We start from the raw sequence: 23,016 nt of genomic DNA, 5'->3' as shown, positions 1-23,016 counted from the left end.
AGGACTTCACAGTCTGGTTGAGGAGTCCTGGGCCCTGCCTGGCAGAACCCCCATGCCAGCTGGGAAGGGCAGAATCACCTTCAGGGCAGTTAGGGTGTGAGCTGGGGTATGGGGGCTTATCCTCAGAGTGGTGGAGGCCAGAGGTCAGCTAGGGTGGAGTCATCAGGAAAGCATCCCCAGGGATGTGGACCGATTTGGGTAATTCCCAAGACCATGTTTATTTGCAGCATCAGCAGAAAGATGGTGAGAAAGCCCTATGCAATGGGACAAATGAGAGAAGTTCTCAATGTTCCTTTACATTCCATCCCTGCCCTGACTAGTGCATAAAATGGAGCTTTGAAATCTGTCCTCAGCCTGTGCTTCAGGTGGAAACTCGCCATGCTGGCGGATGCATGGGCTAGTGGGTATGGTTGGTGTGCAGGCACAGTCTTGCCCTCACTTCACCTCTGGCCCTCATAGACATTGCCCTCCCCACTCCCCTGCCCCCATCCAGAGAGCTCCTCACTGTCCCTGAACGATTAGACAAAGACACTAAGGAGTCTGTCTAACCCATCTTCCTCCAGGCCAGGGCCTCTGCATTCTCCACACATGGGCAACTTTGACCCAGCCATCTCAAGACCAACATTGTACCTTTATTGGAATGAATCACAGCAGAGCTCCTGCAGAAGGAGGGGGCATTTTTTTTAATGTCAAGGGCTGGCCTGGGAGAAGGACTGACCCTGCCCCCAGACTGAACTAGGCCTGGAATTTGTGGCCTGGAATCCATGACCCCATACTTGGCCACTCAATTCCAACCCAAGATGGTCTGGGGGCCTGGCCCTCAGGGAGCCTGGCTGTTTGCTTCCTCTTTATTGAATTGCTTCAAGGCAGGGTTGGAGACAGGGTATGGGTCCAATCTCAGGATCTGGGCATTGAGAATGACATTCTTGGCCGCTTCCTCAGACATCATCAGATGATGTTTCCTTAGTCTTCATGTCCTTGACCTTATTCCTGAAAGAGCCATCAGAGGATGAGTCCAGGGCCACATCTTTCTGGAAGCTGAGAAAAGCAGCGGCTTGTGCCTTCAGCAGCGCCCAACCCTGCGTTCCCAAGAGGTGAGGCTTTCTCACTCCGGCAGGTCCCCAGCCGAGCTTTGCCAGGAGCCTCCAGAATCAGGCCTGCTCCATCTCCCAACCCTTGCGAGACCCTTCTCTTTTCTGTCTTTGAAGTTGGTCCACCATCTTCACTGCTAGCATTTACTGAGCACTTGCCACATGCCAGACCCTGTGCCAGCTGCTTTATGTAGGTTTAATCCTCTCAAAAAAACCCATGGGAGAGGATGGCTGGGCTACATGGCCTTACCTCTCTGTGCCCCAATGTTCTCACCTGTAAAATGGGGATAGTGACAGAACCTACCTTGCATTTGATTGTTTTGAGGATAGAGCGAGATAAGGCATGTGTAGAACAGGGTCTAACACATAACAAATGCTCAATTCATCTTAGCTATTGTTATTACTCTGTTCTCATTCCACTTTGCAAATGAAGAAACTGAGTCTCAGAGGTATGAGGTAACTTCTCCGTGCACACACTAGGAAGTTGCGGCACATGGAACCTGTGCCCATAACCATTATCCTCTCTTCCCGTGCGGCGCTGAACTTCCTCTCTCTACAGTGGGGCAAGTTTCTATCCATCCTTCAAAGCCCTACTCAGTTGTCACTGTGACATTTTCTCCAACTCCCCAAATTAACGTTCTTCCCTTGTTAGGTTCCTACAGATCCTGTATATCCCACTGTCAGAGTCCTCTAGCAGGAACTGTTTGCATCATCTGTCTCCGCATAAGCTATGGTTTTCTCAAGGATGGGGAGTGCTGACCTCTGACCTTTGACAGTCAAGCCCTGGCACAGTGCCTAGCATGTGTGGTTCCAGTGAGAGCAGGGAGGGAGGGCAGGGGGAAGATGGTAGGGAGGAGGGCAGAGAAAGGCCAGAGGCAGTGACTGCTGTGGCACAGAGCAGAGGACACTCTAGGGCCTCGGGCAACCTCTGCTCCTCACTGGCGCTCAGGTCCCCTCAGGTCCAGGGAGAGCGTGTTCATTGGCCGAAAACCCAGAAGGAATGGTCCTGCCAATCATGACAAGTCTTCTCCAGGGGACACCTGGGAGATCAGAGGCCGGAAGTGCCCATGGAGGTGTTGGGTGGAACCCAGTTCCCAAATGGGGTCCTGGGCTGCTGGGGCCAAGAGGCCAGAGTCCTTCATCAAGACTGGGTTTTTTATGAAAACCAGGACTGAACTAGGAGTTCAGACAGGAAAAGAGATGTACTCAGAGTCAGTTCCAAGCCAGTCCCCTGTCCCTGGGAGGAGAGGGAGCCTCTGGGAGGAGTGCCCCTGGAGGGTATGCCCAAAGGCAATGCACCCATCCAGACAGGCAGGCAGGGGCAAGGAAAGGAGACGACATGGCCCAGTCCGGGTCAGGAGGGGCAGCAGGATGGGAACTGGCAGAGGCTGGGTGGGAGCAGGTAGACAGCAGCAGCCAGAGGAGCGGAGAGACTGCTGCGGACATGGCAGCCTTCGAGTCACAGGCTCTCCGGCAGAGGGGCGGGGATGGACAATGTCCCGCACGCTCTCTGTGCCAAGGCTTCAGAGCCAGGCCCCGTGCTGGCACAGCCCAGGAGGCTCCCACACCTACCTTATCTGTGAGGAGTGGTTCAGGCTCTCGGAGAGGGGCTGATCTCGCGTTTCCGGCAGCAGGGAGGAGAGGGAAAAGGCCACGATGGCTAAGACGCAGCAGAGAAAGATGGGCAGGAGGGAGGGGGTCTGGCTGATGATTGTCAGGGACAAGATGGCTCCAGCCACCGAGGCCAGAGACACCAGCCCCAGACCTGTCGCCCTGAAAGTGGAGGTGAGAGCTCCTGTGAGGGGTCTGCCGGGTTCAGAGGCTGGGCAGGGCCAGCAGCTACATGAAAACCCACACTCTCCAGTCTCCACCCTGTCCCATCCTCATTGTGTGATTCCAAGTAGGCAATAATTTCTTCTGGGCCTCCTTCAAGGGGGATGAGGAGGGGGAGAGGCAGAAACCATGCAGCATTATGTGGATGTGCGGGGAGAGGACACAGGCAGTGATGCCAGCCAGGCAGGAAGATAGTGCTCCCATCGCCAACCTCAGGGAAGGATCTGAGCCTCCAAGTGGCCCAAACACTTTCCAGGCAGTGAGTGCAAGGCAGGGGCTGGAGTCAGGCTGCCTGGGGCCAAATCCCAGCTCTGCTGCTTGCTCTGTCTGCCCTTAATCGAGTGCCTTTATCTGTCTGGTCTTGCATCTGAAATAGGGTTAGTGATGGCATTTGGGGGATTTTCTGGTGGTGTTTAAATGAGATCACTTATGTAAACTGTTTAGCACAGTGCTTGTCACCAGGTGAATGCTTGTCTTAGTTGCTGCATTAATCTTGTCATTGTCACTCCCTGCGCATGTCCCCATGGCCCCCTCGCCCACCAGACCCCATACCTGAGCACAGTGGGGAGGAGCTCAGCGGTGTAGAGGAAGAACACAGTGACAGTGGCGGCCAGGCTGAACTCTCTGAGCATGAGCACCAAGATCGTCATGGATTTCAGCTCTGTGGCCGGACAACGTGGCCACTTGAGTCTGAGGCCATCCTCCCCTGGGGTGGGTGAAGGAGTTCCACTCATCAGCCCTCCCTTGACCCCTCCCAGAAGGCATCTGAACAGCCTTCCCCACCACCTGCCCAGCTGGCCAGCAGGCTCAGGCATTCTGTCAGAGGAGTGGCAGGTTGTCAGAGGCCCAGCCAGGCTGGAAGGCAGGACATTTGCAGTGCAGAGTTAGTCAGCAGGGGTGGGGAGGTCCCCTGGGACACCCATGGCCTCTCAGGCCACTGTCTCCCATGCTACACCCAACACCCCCTTCTCTGCCTCCAAGGCTGTGTCTTCGTTCCACCTCCTCACCCAATTGCAGCTTCCTCACCCCACTGGGGATCCACTCAGGGCCAGGCCTGTGTCCTGTGGGTTGGGACCCCTGCTCAGGGCTGTACCACCGGGGCTCTGCAAGGTGGTCAGAGCAAGGGGGTGTTTGGTTCCTGGGGCCTGAATGGCTGGGATGGCTCCCAAACATTCCAGGATGTTCTCCGGCCAGCTAGACAGGCACAATGAAGGGGAAACTGGGGAAAGCCCATTCCTCAGACCTGGTGAAGCTGGGGGCTTCAGCCCCTGCCTGCCTGCCTGTCAGCCTCTGCAGGACCCTGCCCCGGCCTTACTCCCATTCCAGTCCTGGCTTTTCTTGTCTCTGGGATGAAATCAGAGATCCAGTTTTATCTACCGGGGAGTCCATTCCTAGTTTCTCTCACACTTCTGAGTTTACATATTGCTGCTTGACTCAGTGTAGACCTGCTTTTTTAAAAACCACCAGGCAATTAATATTCAATAATGAATTTGTTTCCACATTTTGTGTTAGCCAATCTACACTGCCAGCATCTGGGAGTGGAAGGGTCCTAATCCAGACACACACAATTCCAGCCCTGGAGAAAGGGAGGGAGCCCCTCCAGGCAGGGCCGGATCTAGCCTCCCCTGCCCTTGCTGCGACTGTGAAAGGGCTCCGCAGGCAGTCATTCTAAGTGCATGTGCTGCACAGATCGCTCCAGCTCTAGGACCTGTGGTGTATCCACTGTTTAGGGCTCTTTGAGATTCTGAAGATAACACCAGCCCTTCCTGTTTCCTTTTCTAGTGCTAAGCCAGCAGGAATGGGGCACTGAGCCCCTCTGGAAAGGAGGGGCCTCCATGCAAGAGCTGTTCCTGAGTGCTGAGCCCCATATTACACTCAATTTTTCAGTGGTCAGGTTATTCCTGGTGAAGCTACAGGGAACAACAGGCATTTCCCAGTCAAAGGGGCTACAGATGACAGGTGGGCCTGGGCAGCAGTTGAAGGAATATTTTTGCCATCATTTATTCACATGTAACCATTAGACCTACTTCTAAGGTGGATTGGAATCTGGTGGAAGAAGGCTGCCTGCTGTCCTCTGGAAAGTACACCCTCCTCTTTCAGGCCTCTGAGAGAGTGTGGGTGCCCTGTCTGGGGGACCCCACCCAGGAAGAGCAGTGCTCCAGGGATTGGAGGTGCTGGGGCCTCTGTGGGGTGGGTGGGCTATAGGTGCAGAAGGCTGATTCCCAGGGTGTCTAGGTGGCCGGCCGTGGCAGGCGGCACTGGGGAGGGGTTTTGGGAAGCAGGAAGGCTGTGGGCAGGCCACAGGGGAAGGATGAGCTGTACCTTCAGGGAGGAAAAGGAGAAGCAAGCACCAGATGATGGCTTGGAGGAGAGTCACAGCCAGGCTCCACTTCCTCCCAATCTGCTGGAGGAGAAAGATGCAGCACAGCCGGGCAGGCACCTCCATGATGCTGGGGACCACGTGTCTGAAGTGGACGCTCACGCCCAGCTCTCTCATTCTCAGGCTCAACGTAAAATAGGTGTAACTGACGGTAAACCTGGATGAAGCCAGGAGGCAAGTGCGCGTGCACACGCGCGCACACACACGGAGCCAGGAATAAAGACAGAGGCAGAGCAGCAAGGGTCAGGGTAGGAACGGAGGAGAGAAATAAGCACAGAGACCTGTGATCTGTGTCCTTGGGCTGCCTCCCCTGCAGCCTGACCATTCCCATCCTCTCCCTAGAGTTTCCAGCCTGCGCACCTGTTCGCAGTCCCTGCCAGCGAGCCCTGGATACTCACCACACACAGCTCATCACCAAGGTCACCTTGCAGAGCTGCCTATTCTTACAGAAGTCCAGGACAGAGGCCCGAGTCACCTTCTTTCTGGGCAGCTGCAGCTACAGAACAAGCAGGACCAGTCAGAGGCAGGGCCAAGACCCCAGCTTGCTCCCCAGCCCCACAGCACCCACAAGGCCTGCCTGTCCCTGAAAGTGCCAGCTGGCTTCTGGCCTTCCCTGGCAGGGTTCAATTTTGCTGTCACCATTGTCCTTAAGCAGTGGACTGGGGGCACCCTCTGGACCAATGTCCCACCTGAAAGGATGAGGAGGGAAGGGGCCCTTCCACAGCCCACTGCTCCGGCCCCACTCCTGGCCAGAAGCCCTTTACCTCGTCCAGCAGATTTGAAGGAATGGTCTTCTTGTTCACACTTGCGGCGTAGCACAGCACCTGCTTGGCCTCCTTCACCTTCCCTTTCATCATCAGCCACCGCGGGGACTCCGGGAGAATCCTGCGTGGCCAGCCCCTCTCTTATCTCACCGTTCTATGATGCCCAGAGACCCCCTGCTGGCCCTCTCGTGGCCTCAGCTGTGGCCATCCTGTGCCAGCATGAGGTGATTCAGATGTCAGGGCCTTGAAGGCCACCACTGACCTCGAGCTGCCCTCTGCTCCTCCCTGGTGGTCAGCCCTTCCCCTGTCTAAGCCTCACATGGCCTCCACTGCTGCTAGGTAACACCCTGACCACCGGCTGCCTCTGTCTCCAGTCTCCTTGATTTGCCCTCAGTAATCACTGAGAGCTCTCTCCTTTTCTATCTAGGGGGCCACCCCTATCTGCTCAGGCATGCTGAGGGCTCCGACCTCCATGCCCACAGCCTCCTGTAGAGCCCCCATGCCCTTAGTTGGGATTTCTCCTGTTCCCTATCTGTCTCCCCAACAGCCTGAGGAGTGTGAGGGGGCAGGACCCTGGGTCTGACCCCAGTGCCCAGCACTCTGCCTGGGTGAATGGAGGGGTGAGTGAAGGTCTCTACTCTGTCCCATCTCTCCCCCGCCACATCTCTATTGCCTTTGACTTCAGAATAACTCCTCTCTGTTTTTTCCCATCCTCTCAGGCTGTCAGAATCCACACAGATTGGCATAAAAAGCACGTATGTGTGAAAAATGGTGCTTGGTGCCCTTGTATATATAGTCTTGTTTAATCCTCATCCAAACCTGGACCTAGTATGATTATCCCCATTTTACTCCCAGGCTCAAGGAGTAAAAGGCTTGCCCGAGGACACAGAGGCAGAGCTATGTACTTGGGGACTGGTACAGCCTCAGTCCCCTAAGGTGGTATAACTTTTTAATAAAACTGTGCCTGCTGATTTCTTATACCAGCACTCCCTCCCCGACCAGGACTCTGGCTGGTTGCCATAAACACACACTCAAGACACTAGAGACAACTTCATTCCTTATACCTGCCCTGCTCCTCCTCTCTCCCACCAGGGTTCAGCAATCAGTCATCATTTTCCACTCTAAGGCTGTGGAACTCTCCTAAAGAAAGCCATTAAACTGAGACTTCTTCAAAAAGATGGGGGATTGGCCTCATGTCCACTGAAAAAACAGGAATAAGAAAAGGATACCAACTCTCAGGGACAAAGAGAATGGGAGGGAGGACACAATGGGAGAAATGTAACAAATGCATTGAAGAGGTCATGAACAGAATGTTGACGTAAATATGGACAATAAAGACATTCTGATGAGGTCTCAGATGCAAATGAGGAACTATTAGAAACTGGAGAAATGGCAATCCTTGCTACAAAATGGCAAAGAGCTTGGCTGAACTGTATTCATGCCTTAGTGTTTGTGAAAGAAGGAACTTGTAAGTGATGAAATAGGACATTTGGCAGAAGAAGTCCCTAAGCAAAGTGTTGAGGGTGTGGTATGGCTTCTCTTGACTACTTATAGTAAAATGTGAGAAGAGAGAAACAAATTAGAATTTATAATTAAAAGGGAAGCAGAACTTAAAGATTTGTCAAATGCTCATGTTGGCCATGCTGTTTATTCATTTTCCATGAATAACAAAGTGTGTTTGGGAGAGAACACCAAGGATGTGGCCAAGCTACTGTTTGATAAGGAGGCCAGTACAAATCAGCGGAAGCCAGGCACTATCCTTGAGGACACTAAAAGAATAACCCCAAAGATACATTAGAGATCATTGGTACTGCCCCTTCCATCACAGGCCCAGACTGCCAAAGCCTAGGGGACACAACTAGGTCAAAAGAGGGACCTTCAGCACCCATAGTACATTGGTGCTCACTGCTAACAGCCTACCAATAGAGGCTGGGAATCCAGTTCATGGAAGTGACAGGGTCTTGAATCTCTCCTCCTCACTCCCCATACAACTCTCATCTACTCGAGCTAGGCAAAGGGGAGTTCAAGAGAACTCCTTAGATAGATGCGGGGACTGCCTTTGAAAAAGGACATCTGCCATCCCACTCTGGCTGGAACTTGCTAATTCAGAAACATGGGGGCTTGTCCTGGTATTCCAGACAGTGAGAGAGATTATAGGAGAGTTAATATGTGCCACCTGGAGTTTGAGGGCCTACATAAACCCGGAGAATGATGCCCATCTCTCATCTGGGTATAATGAAGGCAGGAGGTTGATTGGAGCAGCCCACCACAACAGGGTGGAGGCTGGGGAACAGTGGGGTTTTTTGGCCAAGTGGACCCTGCTGTCTTAAAGGCACCCCATGTGCTAGGATGAGGAGACCCCTACAGAAAGAGGTTATGGGGTGAACTGCCAGGGACAGGAGCTGAGGGAGGTCACAAACAGAGCACTGGGAGCATTAGGAAATTCCAATGCTCAGAAGACCCACGAATGGACCTGAGAGTGATGGTATTTGAATATCTACCCTACAGAGGACCCTGAGAGACTATAATAGCCCCTGCCATGTCAGTCTTTGGTCTATTTTATCTGATGTCCCTATCCCATGCCTAGAACCTGGAAAATCAGAACAAGGAGACAGGAGGAAGAACAATAGGTCAGAACAGACCTCATCCCCCTTGGCCACTATCCTGAGCGAGGGGCCAGGAAAAAGCTGTGGATCTGATGTAAGATTAAAGTTTTTAATTGAACTGGACTGAAATTTTTTTTAAACAGGATCTCACTCTTTTGCCCAGGCTGGAGTGCAGTAATACAATCATAACTCACTGCAGCCATGATCTCCTGGGCTCAAGTGATCCTCCCACCTCAGCCTCCCAAGTAGCTGGGACTACAAGTGTGTGCCACCATGCCTGGCTAACTTTAAAATTTTGTGTAGAGGCAGGGTCTTGCGATGTTGCCCAGGCTGGTCCCAAACTCCTAGCCTCAAGCGCTCCTCCCACCCCAGCCTCCCAAAGTGTTGGGATTACAGGCATGAGCCACTGCGCCCAGCCCCCATGCTGTTAACCCCATCTTTTATCATTCTTACTACATATGGTACAGTTAAAATGCAGAGGCTTTGGAGACAGCCCCTGAGTTCAAATCCCAGGTGCCCCACTTTCTAGCTGTGTGCTGTTAGACAAGTTATTTCCACCCTCTGAAGCCTCAGTTCTCCCTCCTCCCCACCTCCCATGACATGGGAATAGCATACTTCTTCTAGAGGGGTCAAGATTAAATGTAATAATTTCAAGATTAAATATGATCATTGCTTCATGCAGAACTGCCTAACCCTTCACACGTGGGTTCCTTCAGCTTCTTCTCACCTCCCTCTCTGCCTTCTGTTTTGTCCCTCTCTTTTCCCACCTGCCCAAGGTTAACCTTCTTTCTTTTGGCATCTCACTTTTGTTCTCAACCCTTATTCCTCCGAGTTTTGCCCCATCAGTTGTCCTCTCCCAGCTTTAATCTCTTAGGTTCCTGTCTGTGACTCCCCTACACTCAAAACATCTGATACTCTTCCCTGACTCTGTCTTAGTTGCCCATATAAATCATCCCTTTCTCCCTCTTTCTAAGAAAGTCATCTCCTGGCTGAATTTCTTCTGCTCCTAGTCACTCCTCAACCCTCTGCCACTGCAGTGAAGCCACCTCAAGAAGGTCACCAAGGCTGGCAGACCCTTTCCCAGCATCACCCCTCTTACCTTCAACACTGACCCTTCCCTTGGCCTTAACCCCTTGGCCTTCAACACTCTTCCTCCTGGTTTTCTGACCACCTCTCTAACATCTCTTTGAGGGTCTTCTCTGGGTCGGGGAGGAGGTTAATGCTGAGGTTCAGAGGCTCTGCCCTTGGTGCCTTCCTATCTCATCCCATCCACATGCACTTTCTCCCAGGGGAAATCCCACCCATTCCCACAGCTTCAAGGACCCTCCATACTCATCGACATCCAGCCCATCAGACCCAGCCCTGTACATGCCCGGTACTCGCTTGCTCACCAGATATAGGAGATGAAGGGGATCACAAGTATCCCACCCACCAGAAACAGCAGCTGCCAGTGGGGAAGACTGTAGGCGATCCCTGTCAGCAACACGGCCCCAACAGCGAAAAAGCAGTGTCCCAGGATAATGGCATGGGCCCGGTGCTCACCCACTAACCACTCAGTGGCTGTGCAGAGGCCAAGAGGACAAAACCATGGTTACGTCAGGGTCCCCAGGGCTGCCCTTGCATCCAGCCTTGCTGGGTGTCCCCACCTGCTCTGGACAGTTGAGATCAGGCAAAGCTTCTTCTGCTCGTCTCTGCACTGGGTCCAGAGACAGCCCCTCAGAGCCCGGTAGAGTGCCTCTGTTCCCGCCAGGGGACACCCTTATCTCCTAATCATATACACAGCTTCCATCCCGCTCCACCTGGCTGCTCCCTCTGCACATCCCCTGTCTGACCACGTGCCTCTTATAGAAAAGACGCAATACCAGACACGTGGCCTGACACATGGTCAGGCAAGGAATCATTGTCCTTGTTTTTGCTCTGAGTGTATTCGTGCTTTGGCCACCTAGGCCTAAGGCTCCCAATGAGAAGAGGTTCTCCTGCCAGGAAACCCCGAGCAACTAGGCAGCTGCAGCTATAAGGCTGCACTGGGTGCTTTAGTGTCTCATAGGCCTGGGTTGAAGTCCCAGCTTTTTCACTTAGTTGCCGTGTGGCCCTGTGCAAGTTGGTTAACTTCTCTGAGGCTAAAGAGTCCTCCTCAGCTGAAGGAGTAATAGAATAGTGCCTGCTGAAGACAGCTGCATCAGGAGGAAATGAGACAATGCATATAAAGGGCTCAGCAGCTGCCTGGCTTTTTCTTCTCCTTCTCCTTCTTCTTCTTCTTCTCCTCCTCCTCCTCTGCCACCACCACCTCCTCCTCTTCCTCCTTCTTTCTTTTTCTTTCCTCCTCCTCCTCCTCCTTCTTTCTTCTTCTTTCCTCCTCCTCCTCCTTCTTCTTCTGTTTTTTGTTGTTTTTTCTTTTGCCTGGCCTTTCTTAAGGGCTCAGTAAATGTAACCCATGGGGCTTGGGGGTATGCAAAGAGTATGCGGTGGAAGGTGTGGTGTATGAGGGAGTTAGGAAGGAGGATGAAGGTGGAAGGGCAGTCAGGGCACTGATTCTCTGACATCTCCAGGCAGCCAGGAACGGAGATCCCTTCCACTTCTGCCTGTCCAATTAGGCCCCTGACTCTGTGTCCTGTGGGATCCCAGCAGATGCCCACGCTGCCACACCCCCGCCATGCCCTCTTACAGCTACACCACGCCCCCTTGCCATCTGCCTATGCCGCCACGCCCCCTGCCACTATGTCCCCTTGTCACCCGCCTATGCCGCCATGCCCCTGTGCCACCCTGCCCTGCCCCATTGAGGCCCAGTCTCACCCAAAGAAATGCTGCTGATGGCGTAGCCCACCACTGACTGCGAGATGCCAAAGCGAAAGAACAAATACAGGTGAAAGCTGTTCATGAAGGCTGTCCCAAAGCCGAAGATGATCAGCCCCAGCAGTGACAGCAGGATGGCAGGGTAGCGGCCCATCCTACAGGTGTCAAAGGGAGGCTGCACCAAGTGCCGGGATCTCCCGGGCTGGCCCCAGCCGGATACACCTGGGCCAGGCCCTGAGCCATCCATGGGTCCCTGGAGAACCCCTACCCTCACCTCCCTCAGCCTGACACACTCCAACCCTGAATGCCCATGAGGAGGAGTTGGGATGGCTCGGGGACCAGCAGAAACTCCCGGGGACTCACTTGTCAGTTATGAGCCTGAAGATGAGAGAGCCTATCGGGAGCCCTGCCATGAACATGATCTGTGCAGTGTCCTTCTTCGTCTCCATGCCACATACCAAGTCAAACTGTGGGTCAGACACAGAGATTGGCCACGGGTGCCCACCTTTGGGTCCAGAGACTGAGACTCATCCCAGCGTGGGACCTATAGGCCAAGGGGACCTGGGGTAGGGGCAGTTAACAGTGTGCAGCGTGCCTCAGCTGTTGCCTCTGCTCTGTTACCTCTGCAACCCCTCTGGCACCTGCTCCACCCTGAGAGCTGGGCCTGGAGAGAGTGACCAGAGGCATAGGCCAAGATGTGTGTGTGGGGTAGGGGGTAGCTGAGCAAAGGCAGGAATCAGTGCAGACCCTTTCCCAAAGGCAGGTGCTAGGCCCAACCTGCAGATTCATGCTAGGGCGGTCTGTGTTGTAAAGGGCCTAGATTGCAGCTCGGGTTGGGAAGCCCCGTAAGAGATGCCTGATCAAAGCTGCTTCTTTCCCCGAGCCCTATTTTTTGTGAGTTCTGAGGTCAGAACCACAACTACAGGAGCGATTTCTTGGACAGATGGAAAACCCTGCCATGCAGCACCCATCTCTACCCCAAATGTACTCTATAGATAGGCAGGGCCAGGGCTGGGCAACAGGAATCTAATTTTCTGCCCAGACCCTGCCTCTGCAGGTTGACCTCAGGCCAATGGCTTCCCATCTCTGAGCTTCGGTTTCCCCACCCATTCAGTGAGGGTGGGAGGCACAACTCTGAGCCTGTAGGGTAGTTACAGACAACCCATGACAAGACATACCTCATTGATCAGCGATCGCTTCTTAGCGTCAGGATAGATCCACCCATCTTGGCATGTGTCTGTGTCATTGAGGCCAAACTGGATGATAGAATCCAGATTCCAAGGCACAGGAAGGTACATGAAGCATGTCAGGAAACTGCCATTGGGTGCTTGGGGTATGGTCAGATTCAGCTGCTCAGCTTTGGACAGGTGGGGGCCCACTGCCAGGATCCAGCTGGTATTGCAATAGGGCTTCTGGGCTGTGAACACGAAGTGGTCAGCAAACATGAAGAAGGCCGACATGATGCTGGGGATAAAGGTGAGGGCTACTAGCCTCTGCTGGAATGTGCCAAACTCCCCCACCGCATCCAGGAGGTTGGCAAACTTGTCATCCTGCTTGGTGTGGACAGCCCTCAATCTGCGTAACAGCATCTCCAGAGACCAGGAATGTGGATGTCCTGCTACCTCATGCTGGTTCAAGTTCCTGGAAGCATCCTGGGATCTGAGCTCTTCCTTGAAGTTCTCCTCTCCTGCCATCTGTCCAAAGAAAGGGTGCAGCTCAGTCTCTGCTGACACCACTTCCTAAACATCAGAGACCAGCATGGGAGCCACCGACTAGGAACTGGCCTCTGGCTTGAAGCAATATGGATTCCAACCTTGACGTTCTCAGTAGTTCCCTCCCTTGCTTTCTTAGTTAACATGATTTATTCCCCCCTGGCCCAACCATCCTGGAGTTTTAGTGTAATTGAGATTTTTAATGTTTTAGAAAATGCTGTGCTTCTGTTGTCATGAAGGACTAAGTTCTTAGGAACTCTCCTACAACTTCCCCACAACTCAAGCTTTTTGTTTACACACACACTGAGACACCAGTGGTCTTGCAAAAGGTAGGAGAGGTCTCTAGGGACCTTTTCTTCAAAAACAAACAAAGATCTGCATCGTCGGCTGTAGCCAGGAGGTGGGCCCAAGGTGGGAGGCTGGAAGCCTGGGCCACAGAGATGGGGCACCAAGGCTGGTGCAGTGGTGAGGCAGTGCAGCATGGAGCCAAACTGGAAAGGCAGGAGTGGGGAAGGAGGAAGGTGAGCAGTACTGACTGTCAGCATATTACCTTGCAACAGCAGCAAGGAGGGGAAACTAAGCTTAAAACTCTGTTTTGAGCCAAAACTCTCAGAAGGGGTAACAGTTCCTGGTGCGGGGCACCCCTTGGCTCAGAGCAGAGGCAGAAGCGAGCCTTCTCTAAAGGAAAATTTCTTCAAGTTGATTCTGCAAGACTCTCACAGAGGTACATCAAGCAAAGAGATTATAGCTTGAGAAGGCAAGCCACTCTACAAGTCGACAGAATCCAGAAACCACAGACTTTTAGACTGCAGATGTTGAAACTGTCAGATACAAAATTTAGAACAGCTATTGTATGAACTTTTTAAGGATTTAAAGGTTGTAATTACGAAAATGAACTTAAAACAACAATCAGGAAAAAGCAGACACTTTTGGAAGGAAGATTATGAACTTTTAAAAATGAAAGCTTGTTGAACGGCAAGTTGTTGTTGTTGAGATAAAAACACTAAGAGGAAAGTTAAACAAATTTGACACAAAGAATCAGTGAACTGGAATAAATTGCTGAAATGTGAGAGAGAGGTAAAGAGACTTGGTAGATAGAAGATTTAACATGTATCAAATTGGAAGCCCACAAGGAGAAATGGAGACGAAATAAAAACAATACGTTTTCTAAAACTTTTAAAACAAATTCTTAGATCCAGGAAATGTAACTTAGGCACGATAAATAAAAAAGAAAACCATGGCTAGACACATTGCAATGAAGCTGCAGGACACCAATGACAAAGAAAAGATCTTGAAAATCAGCTGGAGAGAAGGCAGGCCACTGACTAATGAAGAGCCTCAGCAGTCTCCTGTTAGAAGCAGGTGCAGGCAGGTAGATCACTTGAGCCCAGGGGTTCAAGACCAGCCTAGGCAACATAGTGAAACCCTGTCTTTACAAGAAAATTCAAAAAAATTTAGCCAGGCTTGGTGGCATGTGCCTGTAGTCTCAGCTACTCGGGAGGCTGAGGTGGGAGGATCACCTGAGCCAGGGAGGTCGAGGCTGCAGTGAGCCATGATCACGCCACCGCACTCCAGCCTGGGTAACAGAGCAAGACCCTGTCTCAAAAAAAGAAGATGAAAGTTAAGCAACACGGAAACCAGGAGAGCGAAGAATATTTTCAAAATGTGGATGGAAAATTATAGACCACATAGAATTGTATACCCAGCAAAATTGTCTGTCAAGAACTAGGGTAAAATAAAGGTAATTATAGAGATAACAAGAAATTGAGAGAACACACAGTAAGAGACCTGATTTGATTGAACTTTTTTTTTTTTTTTGAGACAGAGTCTCGCTCTGTCATCCAGGCTGGAGTGCAGTAGTGTGATCTCGGCTCACTGCAAGCTCTGCCTCCCAGGTTCACGCCATTCTCCTGCCTCAGCCTCCCAAGTAGGTGGGACTACAGGTGCCCGCCACCACGCCCGGCTAATTTTTTGTATTTTTTTTAGTAGAGATGGGGTTTCACCGTGTTGGCCAGGATGGTCTTGATCTCCTGACCTCATGATCCGCCCACCTCAGCCTCCCAAAGTGCTAGGATTACAGGCGTGAGCCACCGCGCCCGGCCTGATTGAACTTTTAAAAGATAAGAAGGGTGCTGGCTTCGGTAGCACATATACTAAAATTGGAACGATATAGAGAAGATTAGCATGACCTCTGCACAAGGATGACACACAAATTTGTAAAGTGTTCCATATTTAAATAAATAAATGAAAGATAAGAAGGAAAATGATCTCTGGAGGACAGCTGGAGATGTAATAATGAGTGGTAAAAATGGGAAAAATGTAAGCAAATTCAAATATTGATTGTATTAAATAAATACAATCATTGAGATTGTATTGAATCTATAGTGGAGAAGAATTTATATCTTAACAACAATATTGAGTCTTCTAACCCACGAGGATAGAATGAAGATAGAGATAGAGATGATAGAGATAGAGATAACTCCATATGTTTTTAAGTTAAAAAAAAAACTTGTGAATACAAGTTAAAGAAGAAATCATGGTGGGAGTTTAAAAATATTTACAAATAAGTGACAGTAAGAACCATAACATATCAAAACATATGGGTGGTATAAAAAGTGGTACTTGTGGCAAGTTTATAGCTTTAAGTGCTTTATAACAGAAAATCAGAAAGACTGAAAATTAATCAACTAAACAACCATCATAAGAAGTGGGAAAAAACACAAAAGAATAAATCTAAAGAAAGTAAAGGAAGAACGTAGTAAAGTTAAGACAAAAATTAAGGAACTAGAAACAAAAGTATAAGAAAGGGAATCAACAAAGTTCAAAATTAGTTCCTTGAATAGATTAATAAGATAGACAAATCTTTAGTGAAATTATGTAAAAAATAAAATAAAAAAGAAGATACAAATAAGTCTTTTATATATGCAAAAAGGAATATACAGATATAGCAAGACTGAAAATATTAACTGGATACTAACATCAACTTTATGCCAATGAATTTAAAAACTTAGGTGAATTAAATTTCTAAAACAAAATTACTCAAAACAGATTTAAGAATAAATAGAAAGTCTTAAAAGTTCTATAATGACTAAATTAAAGTAGAAGTAAAAAAATCTTCCCACAAAGGAAGTCCAATTTATATAATTTTTTTTCAGGGAATAGGCAAACATATATACTCCCAAAGAATTTTAACTTTGATAGCACAACTAGAAAATTACAGTACAAAAAGGAAATCACAGATACATTTCATTCACAAAAATGGATGCAAAAAACTCTAAATACAATGTTAGTAAATCAAATTTAATAGTACATTGAGAGAAAAATATATCATAGTAAAGACAGTTTTATCTTTGAGACAGTGTCTCACTTGGTCACCTAGGCTAGGGTGCAGTGGCACAGTCTCGGCTTACAGCAGCCTTGACCTCCCAGGCTCAAGCAATCTTCCCACCTCAGCCTCCTTGAGTAGCTGAGACTACAGGTGCACCCACCACACCTGGCTAATTTTTATATTTTTTGTAGAGACGAGGTCTTGTTGTGTTGCCCAGGTTGGTCTGGAACTCCTGAGCTCAAGCAATCTGCTTGCCTTGGCAATCTGCCACCATGCACAGCCAGTTAAAAACAGTTTTAACCAGAAATGCAAAGATGGTTTTACTATTAGAAAATATAAATATATATATAAATATATATGTATATATATAAATATATATGTGTATATATAAATATATATGTGTATATATAAATATATATATGTATATATATATACTTTTTTTTTTTGAGACAGAGTCTCACTCTTGTCACCCAGCCTGGAGTGCAGTGATGCCATCTCAGCTCACTGCAACCTCCGCCTCCTGGATTTAAGCAATTCTCCTGCCTCAGCCTCCTGAGTAGCTGGGATTACAGGCATGCACCACCACGCCTGGCTAATTTTTGTATTTTTTAGTAGAGACGGGGTTTCACCATGTTGGCCAGGCTGGTCTTGAACTCCTGACCTTGGGTGATCCGCCTGCCCTGGCCTCCCAAGGTGCTGGGATTACAGGCTCCTGAGCCACTGTGCCTGGCCTAGATAATATATAAATACTTATATTTATATAAGTAATAGATCAATACTTAATAGATCAATGGAGAAAACCATATGATCATGTTTATAGATGCAGAAAACGCATTTGATAAAATTCAACAATTTGTGATTTTTAAAGAAAAATCCTAAGAAAAATGAAAAAATTTAATAACGAAAAAACTATCCCCTCCACAAAAAAAAAAATCCTAAAAAGGAAACATTAAAAGTATCCCTTTTAAAATCAGAGGGAAGACAAAGATGCCCACAATTACTTATTTGACATTATACTGGTGGCCCTAGCCAGTGCAATGAGATAAGAAAGAGAAATTAAAGACATAAAGATTGAAAAGAAAAGAAAACCCCAAAGAATCCACAGAGAATCAGAAACAATAGGAGAGCTTAGCAAGGTAGCTGCGTATAATGTGAATACATAAAAGTCAATTGCATTTCTGTAAACCCAAAACAATTAGAAAATATAACTTGTAAAAGTATGCCATTCAATGAAAAAAATCTTCAAACTCACTCAAAATTTGCTGAAATGCTAATTACAGCAATACTGTGACATTTCTCACCTATCACATTGGCACATTTTGTTGATGAGGCTGTGGGGAAACAAGCTCTTTCATACATTGCTGATGGGCATGCAAACTGGCACAACCTTTCTGAAGGACAATTTGGCAATACCTGATATGAAAGAACGAGTTAACCCAGACACCCTGATTTGTTTATGTCTTGCACATGTTCAGAAAGGACTGCTTGAGTGATTAGTCTTTGGCTGGCTTCTGGAATTGAACTTTTGGAGTGTTCCCTGTGCTACCATTAAGAGTGTTTGAGGCCAGGTGCAGTGGCTCATGCCTGTAATCCCAGCATTTGGGGAGGCTGAGGGGGGAGAAATGCCTGAGGCCAGGAGTTCAAGACCAGCCTAGGTAATATAGCGAGACCCAACCCCCATCTCTAAAAAAACAAACAAAAAAATTAGCCAGGCATGGTGGAATACACTTGTAGTCCTAGCGCCCTGGGTGGTTGAGCCATTCCTGATAGCTTGAGCCCAGGAGTTTAAGGCTGCAGTGGGCAAGACCTTATCTCTAAAAAAATATTTAAGAAGAGTGTTTGGCATGCTTGGAACCTTGAACCGCATTGTACCAGCTTGTCTAGATAGCTTATGCCTTATGCTGAACATCTTTCCTTCTTGGGGTCTGACATTGGGCAATGCAGTTTCAGTAATTACAGTTAAATCATGAAAGCACTGTGTGGCTTCATGTTCAACCCCCAATAACAATGCTGGGCTCTTAGGCTCAGGGAGATTCCCTGGCAGAAAGACTTCACACATGTTGCTGCAGTTCATTGTTGGGGGAGTAAGGGCTTCCCATGTACTTTCATTGGGAGAAGATGGAAAGATGGTACCCAGTATCCTCTAGACTCCACCCAATGTGCCTTTTCCCTTTATTGACCTTGCATTGTACCCTTTTGTTGCAATAAATTGTAGCAGTGTGTATAATAACATTTTTTTTTGAGATGAAGTCTCACTGTGTCCCCCAGACTGGAGTGCAGTGGTGTGATCTTGGCTCACTTCAACTTCCGCCTCCCAGGTTCAAGTGATGCTCCTACCTCAGGCTCCCGAGTAGCTGGGACAACAGGTGCACACCACCACATCCGGCTAATTTTTGTATTTTTGGTAGATATAGAGTTTTACCATATTGGCCAGGGTGGTCTTGAACTCCTGACCTTAGGTGATCCGCCCACCTTGGCCTCCCAAAATGCTGGGATTACAGGCGTGAGCCACTGCACCTGGCCTTGGAACAATTTTTGAGGCCCATGAATGCTTCTGGTGAATTGCAGAGCCTGAGAGCAGTCTTACAGACCACTGATACACTTAAAAAACTATGTATACACTTACTTTTTAATTTAGCAATCCCACTTTGGGAATTTATCCCGAAGACACACTTCCAACAGTAAGAAAATACATGTGTACAAGGTTATTCACACTGCAGCATTGATTGTATCACAAAATATTGGGAAAAAACCTAAATATCCATATACATAGGAGGCTGGTTGAATAAACAGTGTTATAGCCACTCAGTGCAATACTAGAACTGGTGCAGTGCCTCACACCTGTAATCCCAGCACTTTGGGAAGCTGAGGCAGGAGGATTGCTTGAGCCCAGGAATTCAACACCAGCCTGGCCAACAAAATAAGACCCATCTCTACAAAATATAAAATAATTAACCAGGTGTAGTGATGCATGCTGTTAGTCCCAGCTACTTGGGAGGCTAAAGCAAGAGAGTCACTTGAGCCCAGGAGATTGAAGCTGCCATGAGCTATGAATGCTCCACTGCCCTCCAGCCTAGGCGATAGGGTGAGACTATCTCAAAAATAAAAAGTGACATTATGCAGCTGTAAAAAAGAATGAGGAAAATGTCTATTCATTGATATGGAATGATTTCCAGACCATATTGGTAAGTGAAGAAAGCAAAATGCTCGAGTATCTCTAGTAAGCTGCCCTTCATGTAATAAAAGGGGATATAAGAATATACATGTATCTGCTCATTTGTGAAAAAAATACAGGAGGATAAGTCACAAACTAATGAGACTAATTATCTCTGAGGGTGAGTGGGTGGGAATGGGTGAAAATAATGAGGGAATGGAATGGGGTAGACGGAATGGGAGGGGAGAGACTGTTCTCTGAGTATAGCTTTTTGTGTAATTCTGATTTTAGAACCTTAGTAAGGTTTCACATACACCCTATCCCCAAATAAGTAATTAACTAAAACCAACCAGTACAAAGAAGTAATCCAAACAGCAGCAAATAAACCTAATGTGATACAAATAAACATCATAACTGCATTGAAGAGGATGGGGAAGAAAAGGACTAATCTAAGTAACTGAAAAATAGCATATCAACTACATATTGTAAAGCTAAAGATGAAAAGAACTGTACACAAGTACTGTTACCCTAGTTAGTGAATTTGTTTCTCGCAGAGATGGATTTGCAGTTCTGAAACTATGTGTATAATATTTAAGCAAATAAGTAACTATATTGTAGATAATAAGAGCTAGGTTTTTGTCAGAGAAAGGAGTTACAATAAAGGACAGGGGAAGCTGGGAACAGTGGCTCACACCTGTAATCCCAGCACTTTGGAGGCCAAGGCAGGTGGATCACCTGAGGTCAGGAGTTCAAGACCAGCCTGGCCAACATGTTGAAACCCTGTCTCTACTAAAAAATACAAAAACTAGCTGGATATGGTGGCACCTGCCTGTAATCCCAGCTACTCCAGAGGCTGAGGCGGAGAATTGCTTGAACCCAGGAGGCAGAGGTTGCAGTGAGCTGAGATGGCGCCACTGCCTGGGTGACAGAGCAAGACTCCGTCTAAAACACACACACACACACACACACACAAGACAGGGAAGACTAGAATGAAGACTGTGGTCTTGGATTGGAACCAAAGGTACCAGAATGAACTCATGATAGATAGATTAGATAGATAGATAGATAGATAGATAGATAGATAGATAGATAGATAGATAGATGTGTGTGCAAGTCTATTTTCTACCTCTGTCCACTAGATGGCCTAGAAAAAATAACAGCTTAGTAGCAATGAGCACACCTAGTACTCAGATATTGGTTCCTAAATAAAAGAACCAGGGTTCGTTGGAGAAATGGTTGATTCCAGGGTTGGAGCAGGGACAGTACAAGATGATTATAAAATATCTTGTGGTGCCAGAAAGCAAGAAAGCACCCTAAAATGATGGGGGCACATCAAAAGAACACAGGAGCCAAACTGAAGGTGTGTCCCCAGTGGACAAATCTGGGACAATTTTAGCAATAAAATAAATAATGATAGTAATATGTTATAACCCATAGAATAAATATGAGTCCATAATAATATAAATAAGTGAATAAATAAGTAGTATCAAAGGGACAGCTCTTCTTTACTGTAGAATCCCGCAGTAATAAGTGTAGAAAAAATGATGAAAATTCAAAAATCACCATTTGGCAAGCACCAGTTATAATTGTTACAGGCAAGAATCATTGATGAATATTAAAATTAGAGGATGAAAATATGAGAAACAGATAATTACATAATATCAGAGTGTGTCTCACTATAAGATACTTATCATTTACAAAGGGGAAAATAATAACTTCATAGTGAAGAAATTTGGCAGATATCATTTTAACCAAGTAATCAAAATTAAAATCACCAGTAATGGGATATGATGACATCATACACCCCTGCATATGATGTACTAAGGGCACAACAGCACTTCTGAGGTATTCTTGCCAGAAATATATGCCTTAATATAATCATAAGAAAACACCAAACAAGGCTGGGTGGGGAAGGGAGAGCATCAGGAAGAATAGCTAATGGATGCTAGGCTTAATACTTAGGTGATGGATTGATCCATGCAGCAAACCACCATGGGACACATTTACCTGTGTAACAAATCTGCACATCCTGCACATGTACCCCTGAACTTAAAATAAAAGTGGAAGAAAATTAAAAAAAAAATCCCACCACCAAACAGATTTAGGGGCATTCTACAAAATAACTGCCTAGTACTTTTCAAGTATTAAAGCATGAAAAAGGCTGAGGAACTTTCCCAGACTGTAGGAGACTAAGAAGACATTGAGAGACAGGACTAGCTGGATTTTCTAGGCTGACTAAGAATCCCTAAGCCTAGCTGGGAAGGTGACCGCATCCACCTTTAAACACGGGGCTTGCAACTTAGCTCATACCTGACCAAACAGGTAGTAAAGAGAGCTCACTAAAATGCTAATTAGGCAAAACCAGGAGGTAAAGAAATAGCCAATCATCTATTGCCTGAGAGCACAGAGGGAGGGAAAATGATCAGGATATAAACCCAGGCATTCGAGCTGGCAACGGCTACCCTCTTTGGGTCCCCTCCCATTTTATGGGAGCTCTGTTTTCACTCTATTAAATCTTGCAACTGCACACTCTTCTGGTCCGTGTTTGTTACAGCTTGAGCTGAGCTTTCACTCGCCGTCCACCACTGCTGTTTGTCGCCGTCACAGACCCACCGCTGACTTCCACCCCTCCGAATCTGGCAGGGTGTCTCATGTGCTCCTGATCCAGCGAGGTGCCCATTGCTGCTCTGGATTAGGCTAAAGGCTTGCCATTGTTCCTGCACAGCTAAGTGCCCGGGTTCATCCCAATTGAGCTGAACACTAGTCGCTGGGTTCCACGGCTCTCTTCTGTGACCCACAGCTTCTAATAGAGCTCTAACACTCACTGCATGGCCCAAGGTTCCATTCTTTGGAATCTGTGAGGCCAAGAACCCCAAGTCAGACAACAAGAGGCTTGCTACCATCTTGGAAGCAGCCCGCCACCATCTTGGAAGTGGCCTGCCACCATCTTGGGAGCTCTGGAAGCAAGGACCCCCAGTAACATTTTGGCAACCACAAAGGGATCTCCAAAGCAGTGAGTAATATTGGACTACTTTTGCTTGCTATTCTGTCCTATCCTTCCTTAGAATTGGAGGAAAATACCAGGTACCTGTCAGCCGGTTAAAAATGATTAGCATGGCTGCCGGACTTAAGACTCAAGGTGTGAGGCTGTTTGGGGAAGGGCTTTCTAACAACCCCCAACCCTTCTGGGTTGGGAACGTTGGTCTGCCTGGAACCAGCTTCCACTTTCAATTTTCCTGGGGAAGCCGAGGGCTGACTAGAGGCAGAAAGCTGTCATCCCGAACTCCCAGCATTAGCCTGTTGAGATCATGGCACAGCCAGAAGTCTCTATTCAACAGCCGCCCATGCGTGTGCC

At 48.1% G+C, this 23,016-nt stretch overlaps 1 protein-coding gene and 1 pseudogene across 8 annotated transcripts in view, besides 1 other annotated feature; one reads left to right on the top strand and one right to left on the bottom strand.

Moving 5' to 3' along the window:
* Window positions 1–612: 612 nt before the first annotated feature.
* The window catches only part of SLC22A14 (solute carrier family 22 member 14), a 39,744-nt gene continuing 17,340 nt past the window's right edge, over window positions 613–23,016 (bottom strand). For 4 of the 8 annotated variants that reach the window (XM_006713416.4, XM_047449237.1, XM_047449236.1 and 1 more), the window contains 10 exons: window positions 12,646–13,161; window positions 11,831–11,934; window positions 11,468–11,622; window positions 10,066–10,234; window positions 6,069–6,189; window positions 5,703–5,800; window positions 5,247–5,461; window positions 3,477–3,630; window positions 2,664–2,864; window positions 613–990 (listed from right to left, as the gene is read on the bottom strand). In XM_006713416.4, the coding sequence (XP_006713479.2) occupies window positions 939–990; window positions 2,664–2,864; window positions 3,477–3,630; window positions 5,247–5,461; window positions 5,703–5,800; window positions 6,069–6,189; window positions 10,066–10,234; window positions 11,468–11,622; window positions 11,831–11,934; window positions 12,646–13,161 (1,785 nt within the window). In that variant the 3' untranslated portion in view covers window positions 613–938. Of the gene's footprint in view, window positions 991–2,663; window positions 2,865–3,476; window positions 3,631–5,246; window positions 5,462–5,702; window positions 5,801–6,068; window positions 6,190–10,065; window positions 10,235–11,467; window positions 11,623–11,830; window positions 11,935–12,645; window positions 13,253–23,016 lie in introns of those variants that run through there. The other 4 variants (XM_006713418.5, XM_006713417.4, NM_004803.4 and 1 more) reach the window with 4 other exon arrangements.
* Window positions 2,104–2,640: an enhancer, noted in NCBI's record as "H3K4me1 hESC enhancer chr3:38358039-38358575 (GRCh37/hg19 assembly coordinates)". NCBI's record gives its function as "activates a minimal SCP1, AML or CMV promoter by ChIP-STARR-seq in naive H9 embryonic stem cells {active_cell/tissue: H9 hESC(naive)}" and the evidence as "EXISTENCE:reporter gene assay evidence [ECO:0000049][PMID:30033119]".
* RNU6-235P (RNA, U6 small nuclear 235, pseudogene) lies at window positions 15,309–15,415 on the top strand (annotated as a pseudogene).

This window comes from Homo sapiens, chromosome 3, assembly GCF_000001405.40.
Source record: "Homo sapiens chromosome 3, GRCh38.p14 Primary Assembly".
Lineage (NCBI taxonomy): Eukaryota > Metazoa > Chordata > Mammalia > Primates > Hominidae > Homo > Homo sapiens.
This window is presented reverse-complemented; position numbering and strand designations above follow the sequence as displayed.